This window comes from Homo sapiens, chromosome 3 (assembly GCF_000001405.40).
Source record: "Homo sapiens chromosome 3, GRCh38.p14 Primary Assembly".
Classification (NCBI taxonomy): Eukaryota; Metazoa; Chordata; class Mammalia; order Primates; family Hominidae; genus Homo; species Homo sapiens.
Window position 1 is genome coordinate 150326884 of NC_000003.12, and position 23762 is coordinate 150350645.

Below are 23762 nucleotides of genomic sequence, written 5' to 3' on the forward strand. Positions count from 1 at the left end.
CTCCCACATAGTTCTGCTAAATGTTACAAATATGTTACACACACTCCAATTTTTAGCCTAAGAACTTATTAACTTTTAATGAGACTATGGATTCTCTCCAGCAAGTAGATTAACCAGGTGAGTTTGATAAAGAAACCTTTTCATATAGATTATCTTAATCCTTCTAAGAATCCAAAAGAATTAACTATAATAGAGGGATAACCAGAAAAGTCTTTGATTTCTGGATTCTGGACTATACTAGTATTACAAACTGCCTCTCCACTGCCTCTTCTGCTTCTCCTTTTATCCATTCACCACCGAAGAAGAGTCAACTGTTGGTGTTTGGGGAACAAGTTTCGGAAAAAAAAAAATAATTTAGATTGAAAATGAATTCTTGATTCTAGGAAAATTTATAGCACTGGCACTAGTTTGGGGATTGAGCTATTCATTTCTCCATCAGAATACCAGTCATTAGAACAAAGATATATTCTCATAATACCATTTTTCCTTTTTCTCCACCTCACCTCCCACCTACCCAAGAACACTCCAGAAGACTACTTTCTCCTGTCTTTATTTTTTTTTTTTTGAGACAGACTCTCACTCTGTCACCCAGGCTGGAGTGCAGTGGCGCAATCTTGGCTCACTGCAACCTCTGCCTCCTGGGTTCAAGCGATTCTCCTGCCTCAGCCTCCTGAGTAGTTGGGACTACCAACACCCCCCACCACGCCTGGCTAATTTTTTTTTTTGTTTGTTTTTTTTTGTTTTTTTTAGTAGAGACAGGGTTTCACCGTGTTAGCCAGGATGGTCTCGATCTCCTGACCTCGTGATCTGCCCACCTCGGCCTCCCGAAGTGCTGGGATTACGGGCGTGATCTCCTGTCTTTTTTAATTTCCACTACAAGCACATTTCATCCTAAGTCACACACGAGCACGTCAGGAAATCTCTTGGTTCTGAATTGCAGCATGTGCATGAGTCCATTTCCTTCCCTGTTAAGAACACCCCTTCCACTTGTACTCCTCATCCTTGACCAACAAAGTAAAGGACACAACCAACTCCCTTCTCCACAGATCATGGCTTGTACTTTTCATGGCTGGGAATTTACCCAAAACAGACACCAAGTACAATAGATGTTACAGATGATTATTCCTGTAAGTACATAAGTGCTCTCTACACAATCCGGGAAACTTGTTGAAGTCTGGAGACGTTTTCAGAGTATCTGAAAGCCAGATTCCACTTAGCGGTTCTTTGAAGAGGAAAATTCCAGACATTTCAAAGGGGCAGATCATTCAGACACCTGGTATTCCTTTTGCAAACCAGCTTCTATCCCCTCAACTCACTCCTTTTAAACACCATCAGAGGGTCATGAGAACACTGTTTGAAATGGTGGCTCTTCAGAAAATACCAGGTTCTCCCACTTCAAACACAATCAACATAGTATTACTTCTTCCTGTGGTGTTCCTCCCTACCAGACATCGATGGAGGCATTCCCGCCTTTCCCATCTTTCTCTAATCTGTCCAAGCAGAGGGAGAGGACTTTTTCCTTCCTAGTCCCCTGAACTAGCTCAAAGAATATTCCCTGTGAAGAGCACTTCAGGCAAGATTTCATAAGATCTCAGGTCTACTGCTTTATTATACAGTTGTGGGCGAGAAGTGGGAATTGTGGGCAAGGAAGGCAGAGGTGAATTTAGTGCTTTAAAAAACCAGGGCACACAATGTGAAGTAACTCATTTCCTCTCTTTCCCTGGGGCTTGATGCAGCCTCTTCATAACCTTGGTGTCCAGGTACAAGAGGAGAAGGGAGCAGTTTCATCTAGCTCCATGGAGATGGTCACGAAACTCTTTACTCACTTAACTTTCAGCAATTTGGGGTCTTTAATTACCAGTTCGTGCTCATAGAAAAGGAGAACTCAGCAAGCAGCTGGGAACCAGAGTTCTAAATGCTAAGTCCTTTTCTGCCTAAGGCTTGCTAGGGCACTTGATGAATTCCTGACCTTGTTTATAAACCTTGTTTCCAGCAAAGTCAAATGAAGCTGCTTAACACTATTGAATATTCTACTATATTAACCACCTTGGCTTTTAGAGCAACTTTCCACTTACAGCTGGAACTACCATCCTTCAGCCCTGGGAGAGATAACTAAAATCTCTGTAATCCAAGTTGGGAGAACAGAAGCAAATTGTCAGCCACCTCAGAACACTTCTTCTCAATTCTTCTTAGCCCTTCTCTAAATAACTGAGCACAAGCTCTGTGTCTTTGCAGAAGCCATTCTGGGATATGTTGGGCCTTCCCCAAAAGCTGTATGATCTTCATGCTATTTGCCACAGAAGGAGCCACTCAGCTTGCTCTTTAAAACAAGTGGGGGTGGCTGGGCGTGGCGGCTCACGCCTGTAACCCCAGCACTTTGGGAGGCCGAGGTCGGTGGATTCCTTGAGGTCAGGAGTTCAAGACCAGCCTGGTCAACATGGTGAAACCGTGTCTCTACTAAAAATACAAAAATTAGCTGGGTGTGGTGGCTTATGCCTATAATCCCAGCTACTCAGGACGCTGAGGCAGAAGAATCACTTAAAACTGGGAGGTAGAGGTTGCAGTGAGCTGAGATTGTACCACTGCTCTCCAGCCTGGGCAACAGAGTGAGACTCTGTATCAAAAAAAAAAAAAAAAAAAAAAAAAAAGGTGGGGGTGTCACCATCATTAGTCATCAGAGAAATGCAAATCAAAACCACGATGAGGTCCCACCTCACACTTACTAGGATGGGTATAATACAAAAGACAATAACAAGTATTGGTTCAGACAGCTGGTGTTCCTTTTGCAAACCAGCAAAAGGGGATGTGGAGAAACTGGAACTCTCATACACAGTGGTGGGAATGCAAAATGGTACAGTCACTATGGAAAACAGTCTGGCAGTTCCTCAGAGGTTAAACATATAGTTACTATGTGACCCAGCAGTTCTACTCCTAGGTATATACCCAAGAGAAATGAAAACATGTCCACACAAAAACTTGTACACAAATGTTCTAGCAGTGTTATTCATAATAGCCGAAAGATGAAAAGAGCTCAACTGTCCATCAACTGATAAATTGATAAATAAAATGTGGTATAGCCATATAAGGGGAAATCATCGACCAAAAAAGAAGGAAGGAGTGATACATGTTACAACATGAATAAACCTTGAAAACAAAGGTTTTCAAACAAAGTGAAAGAAGCCAGCCACAAAAGTACATGAAATGTCCAGAATAAGCAAATCCATAGAGATATAAAGTAGTTAATGATTGCCAGAGGCTGGGGATAGAGGAATAGGGAATTTGACTGCTATCAGGTACACGGTTTCTTTTTGGAGTGATCAAATTGTTCTGGAAGTGGGTATTGGTGATAGTTGCACAAACAACTATACTAAAAACCACTGAATTATATTGTTGGCACACAAATCATATCTCAATAAAGCTGAAGGAAGGAAGGAAAAAGAGAGAAGGAAGGAAGGAAAGAAAGGAGAAGAAAGAAAGAAAGAGGAAGAAAGAAGGAAAATAGAGAAAAGAGGAGAGAAGAGGTGAGGAGGGGAGGGGCAAGGAGAGGAGAGGAAGGGAAGGAAGGGAAGGAAGGAGGGAGAAAAAGAAAGAAGGAAAGTATGGAGGGAGCGAGAAAGAAAGACAAAGAGTAGGGAGTAAACTGATTGGGGTAAACACTGAGCTATTTAATCTTGCCTCTCAATGTCTCTTTCCCCCAGCAAACCCCTCCCAAGAGTCATGAAGGGGAAAGGCCCTCCTTCTAGTGTTGGCCAAATTTGCCCCCAGGAACGAAGCCTTCATTTTCAGCCTCTTTGTAATTCATGAGGCTAACCTCACCCATATCTGCTTGCCATGAACTCCTGCCCCAACACAGCTGCTTGGCCACCCTGATGAAGAAGGCATCCTTCAGAGACCTGTCCTGGGTCCTCTGCTGCCCTAAGAACTGGCTGTTGGGATGACACTGACAGAGCCCTGTCAAAGTTTGCTGATCATCTCCAGACCATCAGAGCTCCCCACTGCTGTATAATTGAGAAGGGCCTGGCCTTCCACCTGGGAAGGTAACCAGAGCCCCGTTGAAACTCACCTGGTGCTGTCTCTGCTTCAGGTAGAAGAGTGAACTGGCCCCTGGACTTGTGCTTCCTTTACTGACCTGACCTGTGTTTGGCTTTCCCATCATCCCTCCCTATTGGTGTTTTGCTATAGTCATCATGTTTACACAACCCCATCCTTCCGTGAGTGTGCTGGGAAAAGCTATCTCAGCAACATATACCCAGCATCTCCTGTTCTCTCCTACTCACTCCAAGTAAATTCAGGATGGCTCCTGCTTAAACTTTAAAAGAGTTGCTCCTGTGAGCCAGGTGCTTAATATATGTAACTCCACTTAATCTTCACAACAGCTCTGTAAAAAGAAGATACAATTATCCCCATCTTTCAAGATGAGGAAACAGATTCAAAGAAGGTAAGCAACTTAATCAAGGTCATGTGGATTCAAATACAGAACTGTCAAGGTTCACTGCCTGAAATAATAAGTTCTTCCCTTCACTGAGCATCTATCATATGTCAGGCAGTGTTCTAGACAACAATATTATTTCATTGACTCTCACAACAATTCCATGAGTTAGGACTTAGCATCCCATATAATGGATGGGAAAACTGAGGTTCAGAATGATTAAAAATAGACATGCTAATCACTATAATTTGATCATTACACATTGTATACATGGATTGAAATATCACTTTCTGGCCCATAAATATGTAAAATTACGTGTTAACTGAAAAGGAAACAAAAAAGAATAAATAAGTAACTCTTTTGAGATAATATGTATTTGTCACTCACTGAATGCCTTGGGAGTTTGCGAAGATGTTTGCTTTTCCTGATAAATGTGAAAGATGCAACTGGTACATCTTTCATCTTCCTCTTTACCTGAATTTGGATGTGATGATTGAAACTTGAACAACTATCTTGGAATCATGAGAGAAAAGCCAAAAGAAAATTCAGTGAAATATTTTCCCAAACATTATTAGCCTGATAAACAACAACCCACCTTCAGATCTCTTGTTATATAAGAAAACTGAACCTCTGTTTATTTTTATTATTTTTCAAGGCCACACAAATAGTACGTGACTGTGATCTATTTATAGTTTTCCCTCATTCTTCTCTTAGTAACTGAATTTTCCAAATTATAGCTTAGCACATGCCTACCCAGCAAATGGTCACATTTTTCAGATCTCCTTGCAGCTTTGTGGGACAGGTGACTGTATTTTGGTTAATGGAATGTGAACAGAAGGAAAGGATGTGATTAACTTCCAGGTCATGCCCTCCAGTTCCTGTTTCCTTCTTCCCACTAGTGTTGAAAGTAAACCACCTGGTCCAATCACATGGACCAGAACCACACTTTAGGGGTGGCAGACCAACAAGATAGAAGGAATTTGGATTTCTGAATGACCTCAGTGGTAGAGCTGCCCTCCATTCTAGAATCACTATCAACTTGGACTTCTATGTGGGGGAGTATTTCTTTTATCTCATTTAAGCAACTATGTTTTGGTCTGTCTTAAGACCCTATTATCTTAAGCAATACTGTGGCCAACTAATTTTCAAACAGGTCTGTCTAACTCCAAATCTGAGTAATTTCTACTACAATTCTCAATACCTAAACTGGGAATTGCAAACTCAAATGCCTACAGAAGCTAGGTAGATAAATTAGTGAAGAAGTCTGAGTAGGAGCTATGGTGAGCTGGAGAATACATATGTGGTTGCTACGTGCTTAACAAACTCTGTTTCCTTTTCTTCCTGCTAGACTATATTTCCCAGGTTTCCTTATAATTAGTTAGGGCCATGTGACTGAATTCTGGCCAATGGAATGTATATAGTAGGAATGAGTGCTCAATCCAGGCCTGGTCCATGAAAAATCTCCCACTCAGTTATTCACTCTTTCTTTTCCCCCTGCTGAAGTGAAAAAGATACCACAGGAGATCTTGAGAGCAATGCAACAAATACAGCAAAGCCACAGATTAGAAGTCTAGGTTCCTGGGTCATCACTCAAAGAAAAGCTACCTAAATTACATTGACACATGGATTTTCATATGAATAAAAAACAATGTATTCCTCTGATGATTTATTACAGGTTTGGGTCTCTTGTTAGGACAGGATAGGATAGCCTACCTGGACCAATACACAAAGGAAGCCCCTATAGAAACGCAGGCCCAATATTGCCAGGTCTTTTGATTTATATTTTTAGGAGAAGACAGAAATTTTTAATATTATGAGGAAGCTGTTCATTCAGTGTTAGCCAATACTGTGAAGGTCAAACAAAACACAACTATATTCCAGATTATATTCCAGCTTCAATATTACCCTGACCCTGAGACTTTAATCAGCCTCCCTTACTGATCCCAGTTTCAACTGGTACAGATTCAACTGCCCCTGAGAATCCAATTAAGGTTCCCAAGTCTTTCTTCCATTAGGTCATGCAGGTTTATTAAACTTTAAGCCAATGGCCATTGGAGTATAACTGTGAAAAGTAGAAACTATCTACTGTCTATAGCTCTTCTCTCATTTGATAAAAGTAGCCTTGCCAAGCAATTGCCTAGAGCTCCAGTGTTGCTTTTTCATTCATATATTCTTAAAATTAGAGCTACTAATCCTACATATCCAACTACATTCACCAAAATGAATCTATTTACAAACATTTCTCTAGTTAGCCATCTATCAAATTCTTTCCACTTATCAAGGCCCAACTCAAGGTTATCTCCTACATGGGGTATTTTCCATAGAGGTCTTTGCCTCTTCCTAGGTGAAACTGACTCATCTCTCTGCTATGCACCCCTGTGGGGCTCCCTCACCCTAAGTAAGGAGCATGTTCCCCTTGTAAGGTGTGAGGTCTTGAACAGAGACCAGAATAATATTATCTTTATATTGTCAGTTCCTGATCATAATAAGTGCCCGATACTAGGGCTCACTATATGTATTAGATGTTTTGTTGTTGATGTTGTTATGTTATTTTGTTGTTGTTTTGTTTTGTTTCATTTCAGGTTCACTTTATTCAATGGTTCATCATAACTGTGCCCTGCACTGGGTGGAAAGAGGTTGGTAGGGAGAGTTGGAACCAAGAGCAATGTCTACAATAATTGAATTTAGAGAGGTCAAATACCTTAGCCATTTAGGAAGACAGAATTTGGAAGCAGACTGAGTTTTCATCCCATTTACTAGCCATAAACTTCAGTCTTTGTTTTGTTTTTTGAGACAGAGTCTTGCTCTGTCATCCAGGCTGGAGTTCAGTGGCGTGATCTCAGCTCACTGCAACCTCCGCCTCCTGGGATCAAGCAATTCTCGTGCCTCAGACTCCCGAGTAGCTGGGATTACATGTGCCCACCACCACGCCCGGCTAATTTTTTTCTATTTTTAGTAGAGATCGGGTTTCACTATGTTGGCCAGGCTGGTCTCAAACTCCTGATATCAGGTGACAGGTGAGCCACCCACCTCAGCCTCCCAAAGTGCTGGGATTACAGGTGTGAGCCACCACACCAGGCCAAACTTCAGTCTTGTTACTTAACCTTTCTGCCCTCAGTTTCCTCAACTTTTAAATGGGGACAACAATAATAGTACAATTATATTCATTTACAAGAGCTGCTGTAACAAAGTATCATAAACTAGATGACTTCACAGAAGTTTATCTCACAGTTCTGGAGGCTAGAAATCTGAATTAAGGTGTAGGCAGGGTTGGTTCCTTCTGGGGGCTGTGAAGGAAGAATCTGTTCTAGGCCTTTCTCCTTCGCTTATAGATGGCATCTTCTCTCAGTGTCTCTTCTGGTCATCTTCCATCTACATGTGCCTGATCTACCCTAGTGACCTCATTTTAACTTGATTACTCTTGTAGAAGCTCTATGTCCAGATAGGTCATATTCTGAGGTATTGAGGGGTTAGGACTCCAGCATATCTTTTTGTGTGTGGGGGGGACATAATTCAATCCATAATGACCATATTATCTAATCAGGTTGCTGTGAGGATTAAATAAATTAATACAAGTAAAGCATTTAAAAGACTGTCTGGCACACTGCAAGCACACAAAAACATTAGCTGGTGTTATTATGTTTCTGAAACTCTTGTTACACCAAGATGTTAAGATATCACCCTTAAGAATAAGCCAATAAAAATTATGCTGTTTGAGTATATTCGTGTGTTTTGGGGGAGTGGCTGGAGAGTGGGAGGTTTGCAACCCTTGCTCTCAGAATACAGAAAAACAAAAGAAGCCACAGTTCCTGACACTGACAGTATATATTTTTAAAAAGGTATGACAAGACATAACAAGTCATTGCACTCATGATAAGCTTGAAAGTGACTCAATTTGACAGGTATGTCGTATATTGAGAGGCATATCACAGTTAGTATTTGTCCTTTGATTTATTGTTAGGTATTGTTAATTCACTTTTAGCAGTAATCATTAAGTCAGTTATACAATATAAGATTGTAGTTTGATTTTGCGATTATTAAATTTGACCTCCCCTAAAGTTAGGGGTTGGTTTCAAAGTCTTCTTAGATACTCCAGGCTTAGAATTTTAAAATAAGTCTCTTAGGTCAGTTGGTCGTTGTGTGACTCAAACATACTAAAATATAGCCCAACAAGCTGTTCAAGGCACAAGATTTCTAAACACTGGCATTTCTCAATAATGCCCATGGATGCAAATTCCTGAATTATAGGGATTCCCAAAAAAGAATGGACTCTTTCTAATGGATAACATTTATCCTCCTTTTAACAAAGAGAGAATACAAAAGTCAGTTTTGTATTCCAATGTTTTGCTCTCATTCTCTTGAGAGTACATCAAAATTTTACTTTCAGTCCATCTTCCAGATCATTCATTAATGCAATTCTGTGGTGATGTGGTTTTTACATTCCGTTCAATCCTGACAGCATTTTAAACTCTGGCCTCTGAGTAAAAATCTCAGTACAGGTCCCATTGCATTTGTTGATTTTACAAATGAATAGATCCTCAGTAGGGAGAAGCCAGCCTTCTCTCAAAAGCCCTCTTCAAAGCAGAGGCTGCCTGGGTGGTATGGGTGATCTGAATATTGCCTGTTTAAACGGGCAGTCAGTGATGCACATACCATCCAACCACATGTGTAACTTATTTCTGAATTATTATACCAGGGCAGAAACCTACCTCATGAGTTTCCACCACAGTAGTACTGAAAGTTCAGCTGTCCAATTTCAATTATATTCCATCTGCAAATCCAGACTATATCCAAAGTCATGATTCCACCATTTGTCAGCATTGAGAAGGGCAGAAGAGTATATACCTGAGGCCTCTTCTCTCTGCTCCCACCTCCTTCTGTATATCCTCCCCACCAATATTTTTACCCACTCTCCTTCCCCTTTCTCTATCACATTCTTGGCCCTCTCCATTGAAGGAGTTTAGTCTTTTCATCTCAGGTATAGTCATTAGCTCTAGAGTTAAAATTTATTTTTTTACTTACTTTTTTTTTTTTTTTGCTACTTTCAACATAGTAAATGGAGATTCAGAAGAAAGCTTCATACATACACTTTAAAAATAAATTATTTTCTTATTACATAAGTTATGTTCATTGTAGGAAATTTAGAAATAAGGATATATTTTTTGTTTTTGTTTTTGCGGCGGGGTCTCGCACTGTCGTCCAGGCTTGAGTGCAATGGCGCAATCTCAGCTCACTGCAACCTCCGCCTCCTGGGTTCAAGAGATTCTCCTGTCTCAGCCCCCTGAGTAGCTGGGATTACAGGCGACCACCACCACGCTCAGCTAATTTTTTGTATTTTCAGTAGAGAAGGGGTTTCACTATGTTGGCCAGGCTGGTCTCAAACTCCTGACCTCATGATCTGCCCACCTTGGCCTCCCAAAGTGCAGGGATTACAGGCGTGAGTCACTGCACCTGGCCAGATATATATTTTTTTAAAGGAAAGATAACACCCCATATCCTGAAACCCAGAAATAAGCATGGCTACTATTTTGGTGCATAGTTTATCAATTTGCATATACTTTTAAAACTCTGAACAACCATGCAATTAGATCACCCAACTAGTATATCTGGAGGAAAGCAGATGCTGAAAGGGTCAATTACCAGATTAATGACCTTTCTCCCCTGCCCTCCCACTGCATCTACATCCCAGGACTGCTCTGAGAGGACATCAGTTTCTAAACACTTGCGAGAGTTTCTGTCCCAGCTACTAAGTATTCTCATCTGGCTCTGGTCATACATTACCCAGTATTGGTCCCTTGGCTTCAGATCATCAACTGACATGCGAGATATAAATATACAATAAAAAAGAAAAGAACTCCCGAATTTTTGAGAGAAGAAAAACAAATTTCTCTAAAGCAAATTCAATGCAGCAGTTGGTCTAGTTAAGTGAGAAAGTACATATTCTGAACATGTGAACTCCATATTTTGAAAACTCAACTTACACTGAAGAAAGTTGCATTCTACCAAAAGGAAAAATAATCTCTTAGTAGATTTTTTAAATACCAACCCTTGAGGAATGTATGTCCATGGACATGTCCACACTCATTACCCATGCAAGATATACACAAACTTGCACATTTTAAGAATACATACTAAAAAATAATATTTTAACTATAAGAATTCTCTGACAGAATTTAAAAATATTAAGATTATAATTCAAGAACTGGATACTATAAAAAAGGATTGACCCAAAATAAGAAAGACCTCTTAGAAATTAAAAGTATAGTGATTTAAGCAAAGTTTTAATAAATTGATTAAAAGATAAAATCAAGGAAATCTCCAAGAAAGTAGAAAATACAAGTAGTTTAAAAATGTGAAAAAAAGCCTAAATTGTAATGTACAAATCCAGGAGGCTAATGTCCAGTGAGTAGAAGCTCCAAAAAAAACAAACACAATGAGAGAATACAAACAAATTTTTAAAAGGGAATTTATCAGAGCTGAAAGACCTGAGTCTTTAGACTGAAGAAAAAAAGGAGGAAGAAAATACTAGAATACTACACAAAATGAATGAAAAATGACCCATATTCAGTCACAGAATGGTGAAATTTAAGAATATCAAAGATTTTTTAATCCAAAAAACATTCAAAGCAAAAAAAAAATTGCCTTTTTTTCCCAAAAAATCAGATTGTCATCTAACTTTTCAGCAATACTGAATTCTAGAAGACAATGAAACATTGCCTTCAAAGTTCTGAGGAAAAATGATTTTAAATGAAAAAGTCAACATTCAATCAAATTATCAGTATAATTGGAGAGTAGAATAAAGTTATTCTAAGTCATGGAAGGACTTAGTAAGTTTACCTCCCATATACCTTTCTTATAGAAGTGATTCAAGGATGTGTTCCAATAAAACAAGAGAGTAAACCAAAAAAGAGAAAAATAGGGAGTTAAAGAAACAAGCCAAACGAGAGAAAAATGGAAGGAAGACATGGCTTAATTGTCTCTTCCATTTTAGCTTTTCAATAAATCTAGAGAAGAAAAGTCCAGCTTGGAGCTGGCGGGACAAGGGTTTTAAAAGGCAGGTATCTGGAAAAAAAAATGTATATGAGCTGAAGTAATCCACAGATTTGGTGCTATCTTTAAGAAATTGAAATATCAAGTTGTAAAAAAAATCACAGTAATGCAAAAGATGGGGATGGAGAGGAGGAAATAATTAGAAATTCCAAGAAAATCACAAAGCTATGAAAAAAAGATATAAAATCATAGTATCTTATGCAGCTAAGAAGTGAACAATCTTTACATAGTCATAATGTAATCACTGCTGATCAATTTTCAACTCTTAGAATCAACCCACGGGGTTAGCCTAAAAAGGAAGACTTAGGGGTAGTTGCAGAATGAGGTTCATGTTTTTTGTTTTCTTTTTTCTTGAAAACATAAGTTAAAATTAAGCATTTGGTTGAGATTAGGAGGAATCAAGAAATGAAGGAAAGGGTAAGGGCTTTCATACTTTCACCTCACAAATCAAAGAATTAAGAGGTATTGTCAAATGGTTGATGGAATTAGAAGTAAGGATGTGAGTGTATTTTTTGTAGTTACACAGGTAACGGTTAATAGCAGAAAAAATCTAAAACTAGTGGCAATTTATGGGGAAGTGGAGGAAAGAAAGGCCAGATTTGGAAGATGAAAGATAAGTGAGTTAAATCCATAGCCAACATTATAGAAATCAGCAGATAATGTCTAAACTTGTTGACTAAAGAAACAGGAAAGTAATAATGTATTGAAGAGTTTATAACAAGTAAAAGCAAAATGTATGACAATCATAGCACAAAGGCTGGGAGGGAAAAAATAGGCATACTGGGGGTTCATACACTACACATGAAGTGGTATTGGATCACTCAAAGGGAGACTACGATTAGCTAAAGAGGTATGTGATAATTCCACTTCCAGTCGAATGGAGTAAGAAGGATTAGATTTACCGTCCTGCCTGAAACAACTAAAATACCAGATAAAATATATGAAACAACGGCGCTCAGGACTTTGGACGCCCCATGATGAAGAACAATGATCTCTGAGAAAGGAAAGAGAAAAGAAAATGTAAATCTATACAAACATTTGTGTAAAAATGTTCATCGCAACTTTATTTGTGATAGCCCCATACTGGAAACAACCCAAATGTCCACCAAAAGATGAATGAATAAACAAATCATGCTGTATCTATACAATGAGATATATTAGTAACAAAAAAGAATGAATTAGGTACATGCAACTACATGGTTGAATCTCAGATTAATTATGCTGAGCGAAAGAAGCCAGAAAAACAATACCACATACTATAAGATTCCATTTATTTAAAATTGAAAAATGAAAACTAACTTATAGTGACAGAAAACAGATCAGAGAGTATGGAGAGAGGTGGTGGGGGTATTAAAAGGAGCATGAGGAAACTTTCAGGGATGATGAATATGCTCACCCCTGAAAAGTTTCCCCTTGCCCTTTTTAATAGCTTGATTGTGGCATATATAAATGTCAAAATTCATCAGACTGCTCACATTAAAAATAAACAGTTTATTTTGTGTCCATTATACTTCAATGGTTAAAAAAGAAAAGAAAGACATGGCATAAACATATTATGGAAAAAGATAACAAATATATTACATATATTTATGTGTATATAACAAATATCTAAAATATATATCAAATAAATAATAAGCATGGCATAAACTTATTTTAGGAGTATGGAACTAACTGTCAAAGAGCTATAAGAGAAACTGTTTAAAGTGTTTCCTCATGTGAGGAAATGCAGGGCAGGAGAGAATAAGGGGAGGAACTGTGGCTTCTTCGTATATGCCCTTCTGGATTTGCTCATTTTTAACAGTGAGTACGTATGTCCGTTCAGATGCTCATAGAAGCCGATGCTTAGATGGGACCTGATGTTTACTTACTTGATGTTTAATGCTTAGCCTGTGAAGGATAAAGGGAGGAGGAAGCAGGAGTGGACAGGGAGAAAGCTGGGATTGAGATCAGGTCTGCCACCTGTGAAGAGAGAAGGGCAAGGAAAGGCTGGATAGGAAAAGCCTGGGAACCCAGAGCAGTTCTGAGAAAGACTTGCCGAGCTGATAGGGAGTGTCTAAGCAAAAGTTGCCCACTAGCAGAGTTCTGTGTCAGGGAGGATGGGCCTGCGCTGGCATCCTAGCACCACTTCAGTGTTCAGTCATTGGCTGGGAGCAGCCCAGAGGGCTATGGCTCAGCATGAATGCCGCAGTATATCCAAAGATGTGGCAGCTAGGGGCTGTCATTCTGCTATGTGCCCCACAGCAGGTTTTTTTTTGTTTTTGTTGTTGTTTTTTGAGACGGAGTCTCGCTCTGTCGCCCAGGCTGGAGTGCAGTGGCGCGATCTCGGCTCACTACAAGTTCCACCTCCCAGGTTCACTCCATTCTCCTGCCTCAGCCTCCCGAGTAGCTGGGACTACAGGCGCCCGCCACCACTCCCGGCTAATTTATCTATTTATTTTTGTATTTTTAGTGGAGATGGGGTTTCACCGTGTTAGCCAGGATGGTCTCGATCTCCTGATCTCATGATCCGCCTGCCTTGGCCTCCCAAAGTGCTGGGATTACAGGCATGAGCCACCGCGCCCGGCCGCAGGTCCTCTTAAAGGGACATCTGAAGATCATATTTTCCTGGCTGCTACAGCAGGCACTGATTTGATTTTAAAATTTCAAAAGTTTTTTTAAAAGAAGGATAAATTCCTCTGATCAACAAGTAAAATGAATAAACATTCAGAGAGCAGCACAGTCTTTTATAGAGTGGAACACTCACCTGGTTGGTGCTATATATTCTGCATTCTTTTTTGTTCAGAAGTGTCGAGTTGAGTAGGTTAAATCTATTTGGTTCTTTCCTAGTTGAAGAGTCACAGTAGACAGCAAAGAGGCAGCCATTTTCTGCAAAAAGTATCTGTAGAGTCAATAAGCGGGGTTCTGCGAGCACAAGGAGGAGCGCCACTTGAGAACCTATGGATTCTGATGAAGCAAACCTGGGAATCACATAAAACCATTTAGAACACATTGAGCTCATTAGAAATCCTCTCATTCTGTAACCCTCATGGCTCTGAAATTTCCTCTGACTTAACAAATAAGGCTAGCAAATAATAAATTATGTTCACAGTACAAAGCAATTGAAAAAGCTGTTAATATATATATATAAATACCACAGATATATATTTATATTAAAAATATATTATGTATATATTTGCAATTCAGAGACAAAGAGGTATATCCAGGTTTTTAAGTCCTGGAACTTACACAATTTTTCAGGCTCTGTTAAAAAAAAAAAATCATAACAATAAAATGCTCTCACATGACCACTCAGCACCACCCTGCATAAAGGAAAGTATATGTGTGTTGGGTTCGGGGATGGGGCAGAGTGGAAAGATGTAGCAGTCTTAACCAATTGTGATTCAAGTTTTTTATTTTTGCAAATTTTGCAAAAACGTATAACCATCTGAACATTTTGTAGAACCCCTCTCAGGGCCTTGGAGAGGGTCCTGATGCCTACACTTTGCCAGCATTGCAGCCCTCTATGAAGAGCAGAGAATAAGGGAGTGTTGATTCCCATAAGAAATTTGTGGATATAAATATAAGTTAGTGGGGGACAGGGGTTGGCCCTTCACACAGATGTTAGTACTGAAAATAAAAAGAATATGCACAGAGGGAACTGCCTGTTGATGTAAATCATCTTCCATGTGTCTGGCACCCCGGGCACTGGTCACTCCCTGCCAGGGCCTGGCTCCAAACACATGACACCCTCATGAGCCATCTGCACGCTAAGGACATAGTTGCATCTGATTTCTCTGAGAACCTGTCACTCGGAGCAGGGAGCTGAATGACAAGGATGAGCAAAGCACATTATTGGGCTCTGCCTTTAAAGGAAGTGGATTTGACTTGGTGAAAATATGGTTATACAGCATATGATCACAAGTACTTTTTTAAACACCCTGAAAGAAAATATAGAGAAGTACACTCAAATGTGCTAACTATAGATGTTAGAACTATGGGTGTTAGAACTATGGGTAATCTTTTTTAACGTTCCCCTCACATTTTCTTTAATAAGCATATATTGTCTTTAAAATTGAAAATAAATTTCAAAAAATGTTTAGAAAAAAATGCATTAACTTTGTATATATGGATATACACAGGTATATGTATTAATTAATGCAAGCAATGTGCAGGAATCTGGAGAGATTTAAAACTTCCCATGGCTTCCAGTAAGAATATTTCACATGGCAGCTATTACCAGTGTGGTATGAGAATCAGAGAATCAATTAATCTCACTTTTGAAAGGGTCTTTGTATTAGTTATCTGTTACTCCATCACAAATTACCCCAAAACCTTGGCGGCTTAAAACAATAAACATTTATTATTTCACACAGTTTCTGTAGGTTAGGAACCTCCGAGTGACTTAGCTGAGTGTCTCAGGCTCAGGGTCTCTGATGGGGTTGCAGTCAAGCTCTGAGCAGGGGCTGCAGTCATCTGAAGGTTTATCCAGGGCTGGAGCACCTACTTCCAAGATGGTCATTCATATGGCTATTGGCAGAAGTCCTCAATGCCTTGCCACATGGGCCTCTCCATGGGGCTGCCTGACTGTCCTCACAACACAGCATCTGGCTTCCCCTGGATGGAATGATGTATGTATGAGAAAGAGAGAGAGAGGAGCCACAAGGTCTTTTGTGATCTAGCCTAGGAAAAGTCATACCATCATTTCTGCCGTATTCACAGACCAATCCTGATGCAGTGTGGGAGGGGACTACACATATCCAAGGCAGGGATCGTTAGAGGCCCTTAAACACCATCATGTCCAATCCCCATGGGATCCTTGAGAAACTAAAATTTTTCCATAAAACAAGAAATATTGAGATTGTTAGTCACAGTCATTTAAATCTATTAAGGAAATAGGTATTTGAATCCTATTTTATATTCTGACTCAGCAGAAATGGCTCTTCTGAAAATAATGTATTAGAGGTTATGAGTGTAATGTGACTTTAAAATGTTAATTGGTTTTCACTTCTTGGAAAGTTACAAAATTTTATTTCCTTCCTTTTAGAGAGGTTTAGATAGGCAAAACAGATTTTTTTTTAAACAAGCCTTTGTACTTTGGTGGTATGGCTGCCAGGCAAAAACAAGTAAACAAACGAAAACCTTTTAGTGGTTGTTTTCAGCCTAGCTAGATGTCTAATTGATTTAAAAACAATAATAATCTATCTCCCCCAATAGGTCAAATGTCTTTCTAATACAATCCATGGATTTCAACACATGGAAAAGGAGGCTTGTGAAATCAATATAGAAACTATATTGTTAAAAAACAACAATTAGTCTGGGCACAGTGGCTCATGCCTGTAATCCCAGCACTTCAGCAGGCCGAGGTGGGAGGATTGCTTGAGCTGAGGAGTTCAAGACCAACCAGGGCAACATAGTGCGACCTTGTCTCTACCAAAACAACAACAACAAAATCAGAATGAAAACTCTGTCTGACTTGGGGGATTTTCTTTTTTAATAAATGAGTTTATTTGGTTAAAAAAAAGCATTTCAAATAACATCTTATGTATTTAATGAATTGCCTTTACTAAAAAGAGTAAAATTATATGAAATTTGAAATGTCTTTAAATTAGAGACATAAGATTATAGAAATACAGGGCAATGCATCTTCCAGGCTGCTCCTCTTAATAAGAATAGGAAGAGGAAATTTGTCAGTGTTTGAAATTACCTCCAGACTCTTTAAGCAATGAATTCTCCTGTATTCATCTTTGAATCCCAAATGCCAGCAGAGTGCCAGGCACAGAGAGGTCATGAAATATTTGCTGAATGAATGAAGAAGGGAAAAGCACTAGATTGTTTTGGAGAAATGATACCACTACAAAGCCCGTTCTCACCCTAATTTCCATTCCTCCCTTCACCCCCTGTGTTCCCAACATCCCCTGACTTCAAAGAGAGTCCCCAGGAAGAGAGCTGGCCTTGGCATCGGTAAATCACCAGTTGCCCTAAGGGCTCATGACTTGTCATCCCAGCAAGTCCAATTAATTCCCTGTTCAAACTGACATTTTAAATTCCGGTCCATAATACAAAAGAAAAATGAATCTGCCCAACTTCTTGTTTGGGCATCTATTATATTTTCAACGCCATCCCATAAATTCTATGCATTCACTCCCTCCCCCAGTGCAAGAATTAAACACGGATCTGCAGCCGGATGGATTCTATCTCCTGTCTTTTATCCAGCTGGAAAGCTACTTACTAGTTCTTTATCGTCTTTTGGTAACAGATATTCTCCCAGGAATCTCCACTCTCGCTGTTAAACTTCCCAGCAAGTTCAAAGGGGCTCTCATCTCTCCAAGATCTGCTAGTTAACTTACTGCTGCTACATGGCATTGCCTTTGATAATTTAGCCCCTCCCAGAGGCTGATTTTTCTCCATCTCAGGATAAAATAAGGTGTGTTTTTTGTTGTTGTTGTTTTTGTTTTTGTTTTTTTTTGTTGTTGTTTTTTGAGACAGAGTTTCGCTCTTGTTGCCCAGGCTGGAGTACAATGGCGCAGTCTCGGCTGACTGCAACCTCCAACTCCCGGGTCCAAGCGATTCTCCTGTCTCAGCCTCCCGAGTAGCTGGGATTACAGATATGCGCCACCATGCCCGGCTAATTTTGTATTTTTAGTAGAGACGGGGTTTCACCATGGTGGTCAGGCTGGTCTCGAACTCCTGACCTCGGGTGATCCGCCCGCCTCGGTCTCCTAAAGTGTTGGGATTACAGGCGTGAGCCACCGCACTTGGCCTAAAATAAGGTTTTATCAAGCCGTCAAAGCCCTGGACTTTGGCACTGTTTTCAAAGGGTGTTAAAACATTCCCAAAGGATGAACCCTCTTGAACTAAGGAATCACTGAGGGGAAAGGAATGCAAGCAGGTCTGACAGGATCTGCAGCTTTCCCCTGATTTATTGCACCTTGCTTTAGAGGAACTAAATGCTCATTCTGATGAGTTTAGTGAATATGAGACACTCTCTGTGGATCCAGGATTTCACCATATGCTATTGGGTCATATGTCTCAAAACTCAGGTGTGCTCATCGTTGAACTAATAACCTCAGTTATTCATTTGGTTTCAAAATGCTTATCCTGGCACGTACAGTACTGTTTTCTTTTAGGGCTGAGATTTTATCTAACACAATTACAGTTTCTGATAAGCTATTCTGTGTTTAAAGCACATATTTTTAAAAAATCAGAGGTCTGCATCTCCAAGCACAGGGCAGTCCAGGATAAATCAGACCCACTAAAAATATAAGGACTATAGCTGATCTTTGTATTATTGTTGTTAGAAAGGTAATTATTCCAAATTGCAGAAAGAATGAAAATAGAAAAAAGAAAAATATGACAAGTAATTCTAGGCTATTCTTTTGATGTGTTTCCTTTTAGTCTTTTTAAAAAAAGATAAAATTTTGAATTTTTTTTTTCATTTAACTTATCACAGATATTTTGCCTTTATTTTGCCAGTCTGCTTCATGACTATGGCTTTTAGAGATCGCTTTTCAAAAGGACATGTTTTAGTGAACGCTATCAAGCTGGAAATTTTAAAAAGCAAGAAATCCAGATCATCACACATTTTTTCATTATTTTTTAGTCATCAAATTATTTTTCATGTGTATTTCAGAGGATTGCTCTTCCAAGAAATACTCTGTAATACACTGTATGCATTTGAGAGAAAACTCTGAACTTGTTTTTAAAGTTTGTATATTCAACCAGGTATCAATGACACTTTTTCATCTTTTTTTTTTTAATTACTAAAGAATCCAGTCACATCAAGCATCATGAGCTTCCAGAATCCTGAGTTCTATAGGAAACCAATTAGTTTGAACATCTTCCCCAAGGTATAAAAGTATTTCGCCAATCCCAATACAGGGTGAGAAGAGTTTATGAGAATTGAATGAAACAATGCAGATAGTCTCTCACCAACATCCCCCATAGCCTCACAATTCAAATGCAGCATTCCACTTGCTCGGCTTTAAAATTTAATAAAGAAAAGTAAAGCGATGGGTTGGAAGATTTTGGAAATTGAGCAAAGATGAAAGAGGCAGTATTGTACATTTGCGTTTCTTTTATATTTGATGTCCTTCCATGTTAGGGAGAAAAAGAAAATATGCAAGAGTACGAAGGACAATGTTTTTAATAAAACCTTGGCTGCTTTTCTGTAAGAATCGATGCAAGTAATTTTATCTCTTTAGGGGTGGTTTTCAAAGCAAGGGGAAGAAACAAATTGACAGGATCTCATAAGGTACTTGGGAAATGCACTCTTTTTGTGCTTTATTTAACTTAGCTAGGGAAAAAAACTACGTGAAAAGGCAAGATTTCACTCAGATCTAGTTCTGCTTCATATGACTTAGAAAGGAAAAAAAGGAAGAAAGGAAGAAAAAATCCCTCTCAAACCTTATGCCCTATATCATAGTGTTGTACAGATGACTTTTAAAAGGATAATAACATATTTCAGTATTTTTTAAACTGAAATTTGACTAACTGTACAAATTTGGGTTGTGGGTTCTTTAACGAAGGAAGATAATTATATTTATATTTTTCTGACATGATATAAAAACTTAAGTCAGCATAGAGCCCCTGCTGTCAAGCTAGGCTGCCATTTGAGCTCCTAAGGAAGAAAATCCTTGGGAAAGATTGTATTTTATAGTCCTGCCCTCAGCAATTCAGCTGTGCTTCATTCCAAGACACATTTTTGCCTTATGTGCCATAATAAAAGCAAACCTTCTTGCCCCTTAGAGGGGCACATTTAGAAGATCAAGAGGAGAATGTACTTGGGCCACAGTCTCTCCTAGGACGGCTGCAAGGCAAGCTGTAATAGAAACCAAAACAGGGCACATCTAACCGGTTCTGGGTTTTCTCCTGAAGGCAGGATGTAGACCAGGTTTTTTGCAAGGGTCACTGAAGTTTGCAAAACTTTTTCTGCTCCTGGCTGATTGAGCGAGCCAGAGCCAGCTCATAGCTTGGATTGGAAATCATGTGAAACTCATTTATGCCATTTTGTATTTTCTCTCTTTAACTCCCTATCAGACATTGAGCCGAGTTTGCATCCGAGTCTGGAGTTGGTTTACAAGCATACTGGAAATAAAACTCAATTGGGAGTGAGAATCCAGGTGAACCGAAGTAAACGTGAACTCTTTGTGAACCAAATACTACTGTACGCCTCTTCAAAGCCTACAGGCGCCTGAAAATCTCCCATAAATCCAAGCTGCATTGAAAGGATTTGCTCCAAGCCTTCTACCAGTAGCTTGCATCCACATGCATCAGATTCAGCTGTCTCCTAAATCTGCAAAGTGTTATCTGCCTCACCGTGCACAAACTACTGTCCCAAACTGTATTCAATCCAGATGGGAGGTTTTATCACTTCCTGACTTCCCTTCCATTGTAAGGATGAATATTTTGAAACCAGGCAACTAGGAAAACCATACCCCACTAAATGGGAGCATATACTATTTAGGGAAAACTTTCTAATTGTCCCCCAGAAAATGAAGAAATTATGCTCTTCTTGTACCCTGATTGTACAAAATGTTCAGCTCCCTGGGATATGCACCAGATCACATTCACAAGAGAACCTACCATGGGTGTGTCCAGCGTCACGCACAATTCTCAGTGAAACAGCTTAATCTCCACACTTTTCTGTCTCACAAGCAAATTAGGATGCAAGTGAGGTTGAAATTATCACAGGAATACATGTTATCCTATTTTAAAAAATAATTTTCAAATGCTGGCACTTCACTATTAATAACAACAATTTACTTGTGACAGCTGATAAGACACATTGATATTTCAATCCTGATTCACTCAGACCACCACCACTCCTATAAGTACCTCCAATCAGGGAACTTGTCAATCATAAAGTGGAAGTTGGTTTATGTTCTATTTCCTCCTCAGGGACAGGGCCCAAGTCTTGATCATCACTTTACATAAATCAGTGCCCAGGCTATTGCAGGGGTGCAATAACACTTATGTAAACCAAGGGAAAGGCACATAATATGCCTAGAATATCTCTAGAAGGATCCTCCAAGAAACTGCTAGCAGTGATTGTCCCTCAACAGAGAAACTAGGGGTTGAGGTGAGACACTTGATTTCACTGTTTTTTTTTGTTTGTTTGTTTGTTTGTTTACTAATTAAACTTTTTACCCAGTATTTTGTATTTTATTGGGTACATTAGAATATTTATTGAATGAATCAACACACAGATGAACGAACAAGCTATATCCAGGAACACAAGAGTTGACGCCCAAATATTTTTGTCTGTACCAACTTAACAGCAGTGGCTTTTTCCAACCCGAAGTTTCAAATCCTTCTGGTGACTCATGTCAAGTTGCGTGCGCCAAGTTAAGAGAGTGCTGACACTCTGACTCAGTGTGTACAGAAATTCTTGGCCAAGGAGGAGACAAAGAACTGTCACAAAGGCTAGACTTTATTGGTTCAGTTTTGATTCATTAATCAGAAGTGGAAATGCTCACAGTTTTTCTCCATATTAGATGTTGCTGTATCTTGTCTGTGAAGAGCAAGCGTGGTTACTTCTCAAGATAAAGCTCTATCCAAGATCCAGAAAAATGGCAATTCTTTAGAGAAAAAAAATCCATTTATCTCATGTCCCTAGTTTCATGTCTCCTTTCAGCTCCAGAGAGGTGGCTTACTGCAGTGAATTGAAGAGCACTGGCTTTGGGATCAGGCAGAACTGTCTAACTATCCTTTGTCTCAGAATTTGCAGTTGTATATAAACTGGGGACAAAGGTACCTACCTGACAAGGCTGCCATTAGGCTTAAATTAGCTAATATATTTAAAATCCCTGTAACATAGTGCTTAAAAAGTGGTAGCTATTATTCCTACCGTAAAATAGTTTTACAGCCCTTTTCATCCTTTAAATTGACTGAGAATCAACACCAGTCGTTGCTTTAAAACAAAGCTTTGAGGCTTTAAGTCTTACCTATAAGGTGCCACTACATTATAAGCTTAAGAACGTTTTGCCTCCTCCCATAATAAAAATATTCTGTGGTGTTTTTGACATGTTACTTCTTTTGCCTACAGTGTAAAGATTAGGAATAAGCTTGCTATTAATACTTCCAATATTCACTGTGTCATCTGTCTGACTGTCATAATCCTCAATCAATCACCTTTGTGCTAGCATCACTTTTTATCCAACCAGGTCAAGATCATGTAATTTGACGGCTGCTTAGGAATTTGTCAGCACTGTTATTTGAAGGGTGTTAGAAAGACACTGGCACTACAATCAGACTCTGTAGCAATATGCCATGCCAAAGGAATTTTTAATGAGGTGGATTTTTTTTTTTGAGTTGGGGGATCCCTTGTCCCCAACTCAAATTCATGCTTCAGTCTGGTTCCAAAAGAAACCAGACTTTTTGGAACCACAATCCCCAGATTCCTCAATGTTTGGCAAGTTTGCCAAGAGGTTCAAGCTGCCCTCTAGCTCATCTGGCTGCTGCTCTTGCCCAGGCTGTCTGATGACTTGCTGGGCCACCAGGGGCCCTGCCTTTCCCAGCATGGAAGTATGTGACTCTCCCCACACTCCCTGCGCCAACAATGCCAAGAATCAGAAACAAGGGCCGGGAGTGTTAGCAGGCCCCGCATGAGTGGCAGCTTAGAGGGCTTGCATTGTGCTTGGTGCACCAAGAGCAGATTGTTATTCTGCAGGCATGAATTAGAGCCTGGGCAGAAAGCACCATGGTCTTGCCCGGTGGTGTCTTGCTGCTGCTGGAGAAGTGAGAGGGCTGCGGTTGTACAGAATTTCTGCAGGCCATGTTCCAGGAATTGTCCTTAGAGGGCTCATCAGAAGTGGAAACATTTGCTTCTTGAATTCCAAACACCCTGAAATTCCATTAGTCTATTATTTTCCCCCTACCTTCCCCACTTCTCCTGCTGTGAAATGGCATCAATTCATTAACTCTGCTCAAAGGCGATTGTATTCTCATGACTTCAATGTATCATTTTAAATTTTTTATATTTTGCATAAGCTTTATTAAATACGTATCTAAGTTGGAATGATTATCCCCACTGTCTGTTCAGTTGTCATTCAGACAATACTTCCTGGCAGGTTAGCTACTACAGATTTAGCATAGTTACTGAAAGAATGAAGATGGTTGGATTTTATAGACCTTTTTGTAGACTATAGGGCTCTGAGGCGTCAATCCATGCAATGACTGCCTCTTTCCTCCAGGTATTGAAAAACACAACTCTTCGTGCTTTCTGACTGGCATGAACCCATAACAACTAGATTTAATTGTGTAAAAGATCTCAACTTCAAAGTCAGCTAAAAAGGCCTACAAAACC

At 39.5% G+C, this 23762-nt stretch overlaps 2 long non-coding RNA genes across 3 annotated transcripts in view; one reads left to right on the forward strand and one right to left on the reverse strand.

Moving 5' to 3' along the window:
• The window catches only part of LOC107986141 (uncharacterized), a 46871-nt gene that overhangs the window by 20465 nt on the left and 2644 nt on the right, over positions 1–23762 (forward strand). Inside the window, exon 2 of one of the 2 annotated variants that reach the window (XR_001740958.1) lies at positions 20495–21536. This is a non-coding gene — a long non-coding RNA (uncharacterized LOC107986141). Of the gene's footprint in view, positions 1–20494; positions 22487–23762 lie in introns of those variants that run through there. The other variant, XR_007096127.1, reaches the window with a different exon arrangement.
• LOC107986142 (uncharacterized) lies at positions 12734–16787 on the reverse strand. Its single transcript, XR_001740959.3, has 3 exons — positions 16155–16787; positions 14223–16072; positions 12734–13438 (listed from the first exon to the last, which is right to left on the reverse strand). It is a non-coding gene; the product is annotated as an uncharacterized LOC107986142 (long non-coding RNA).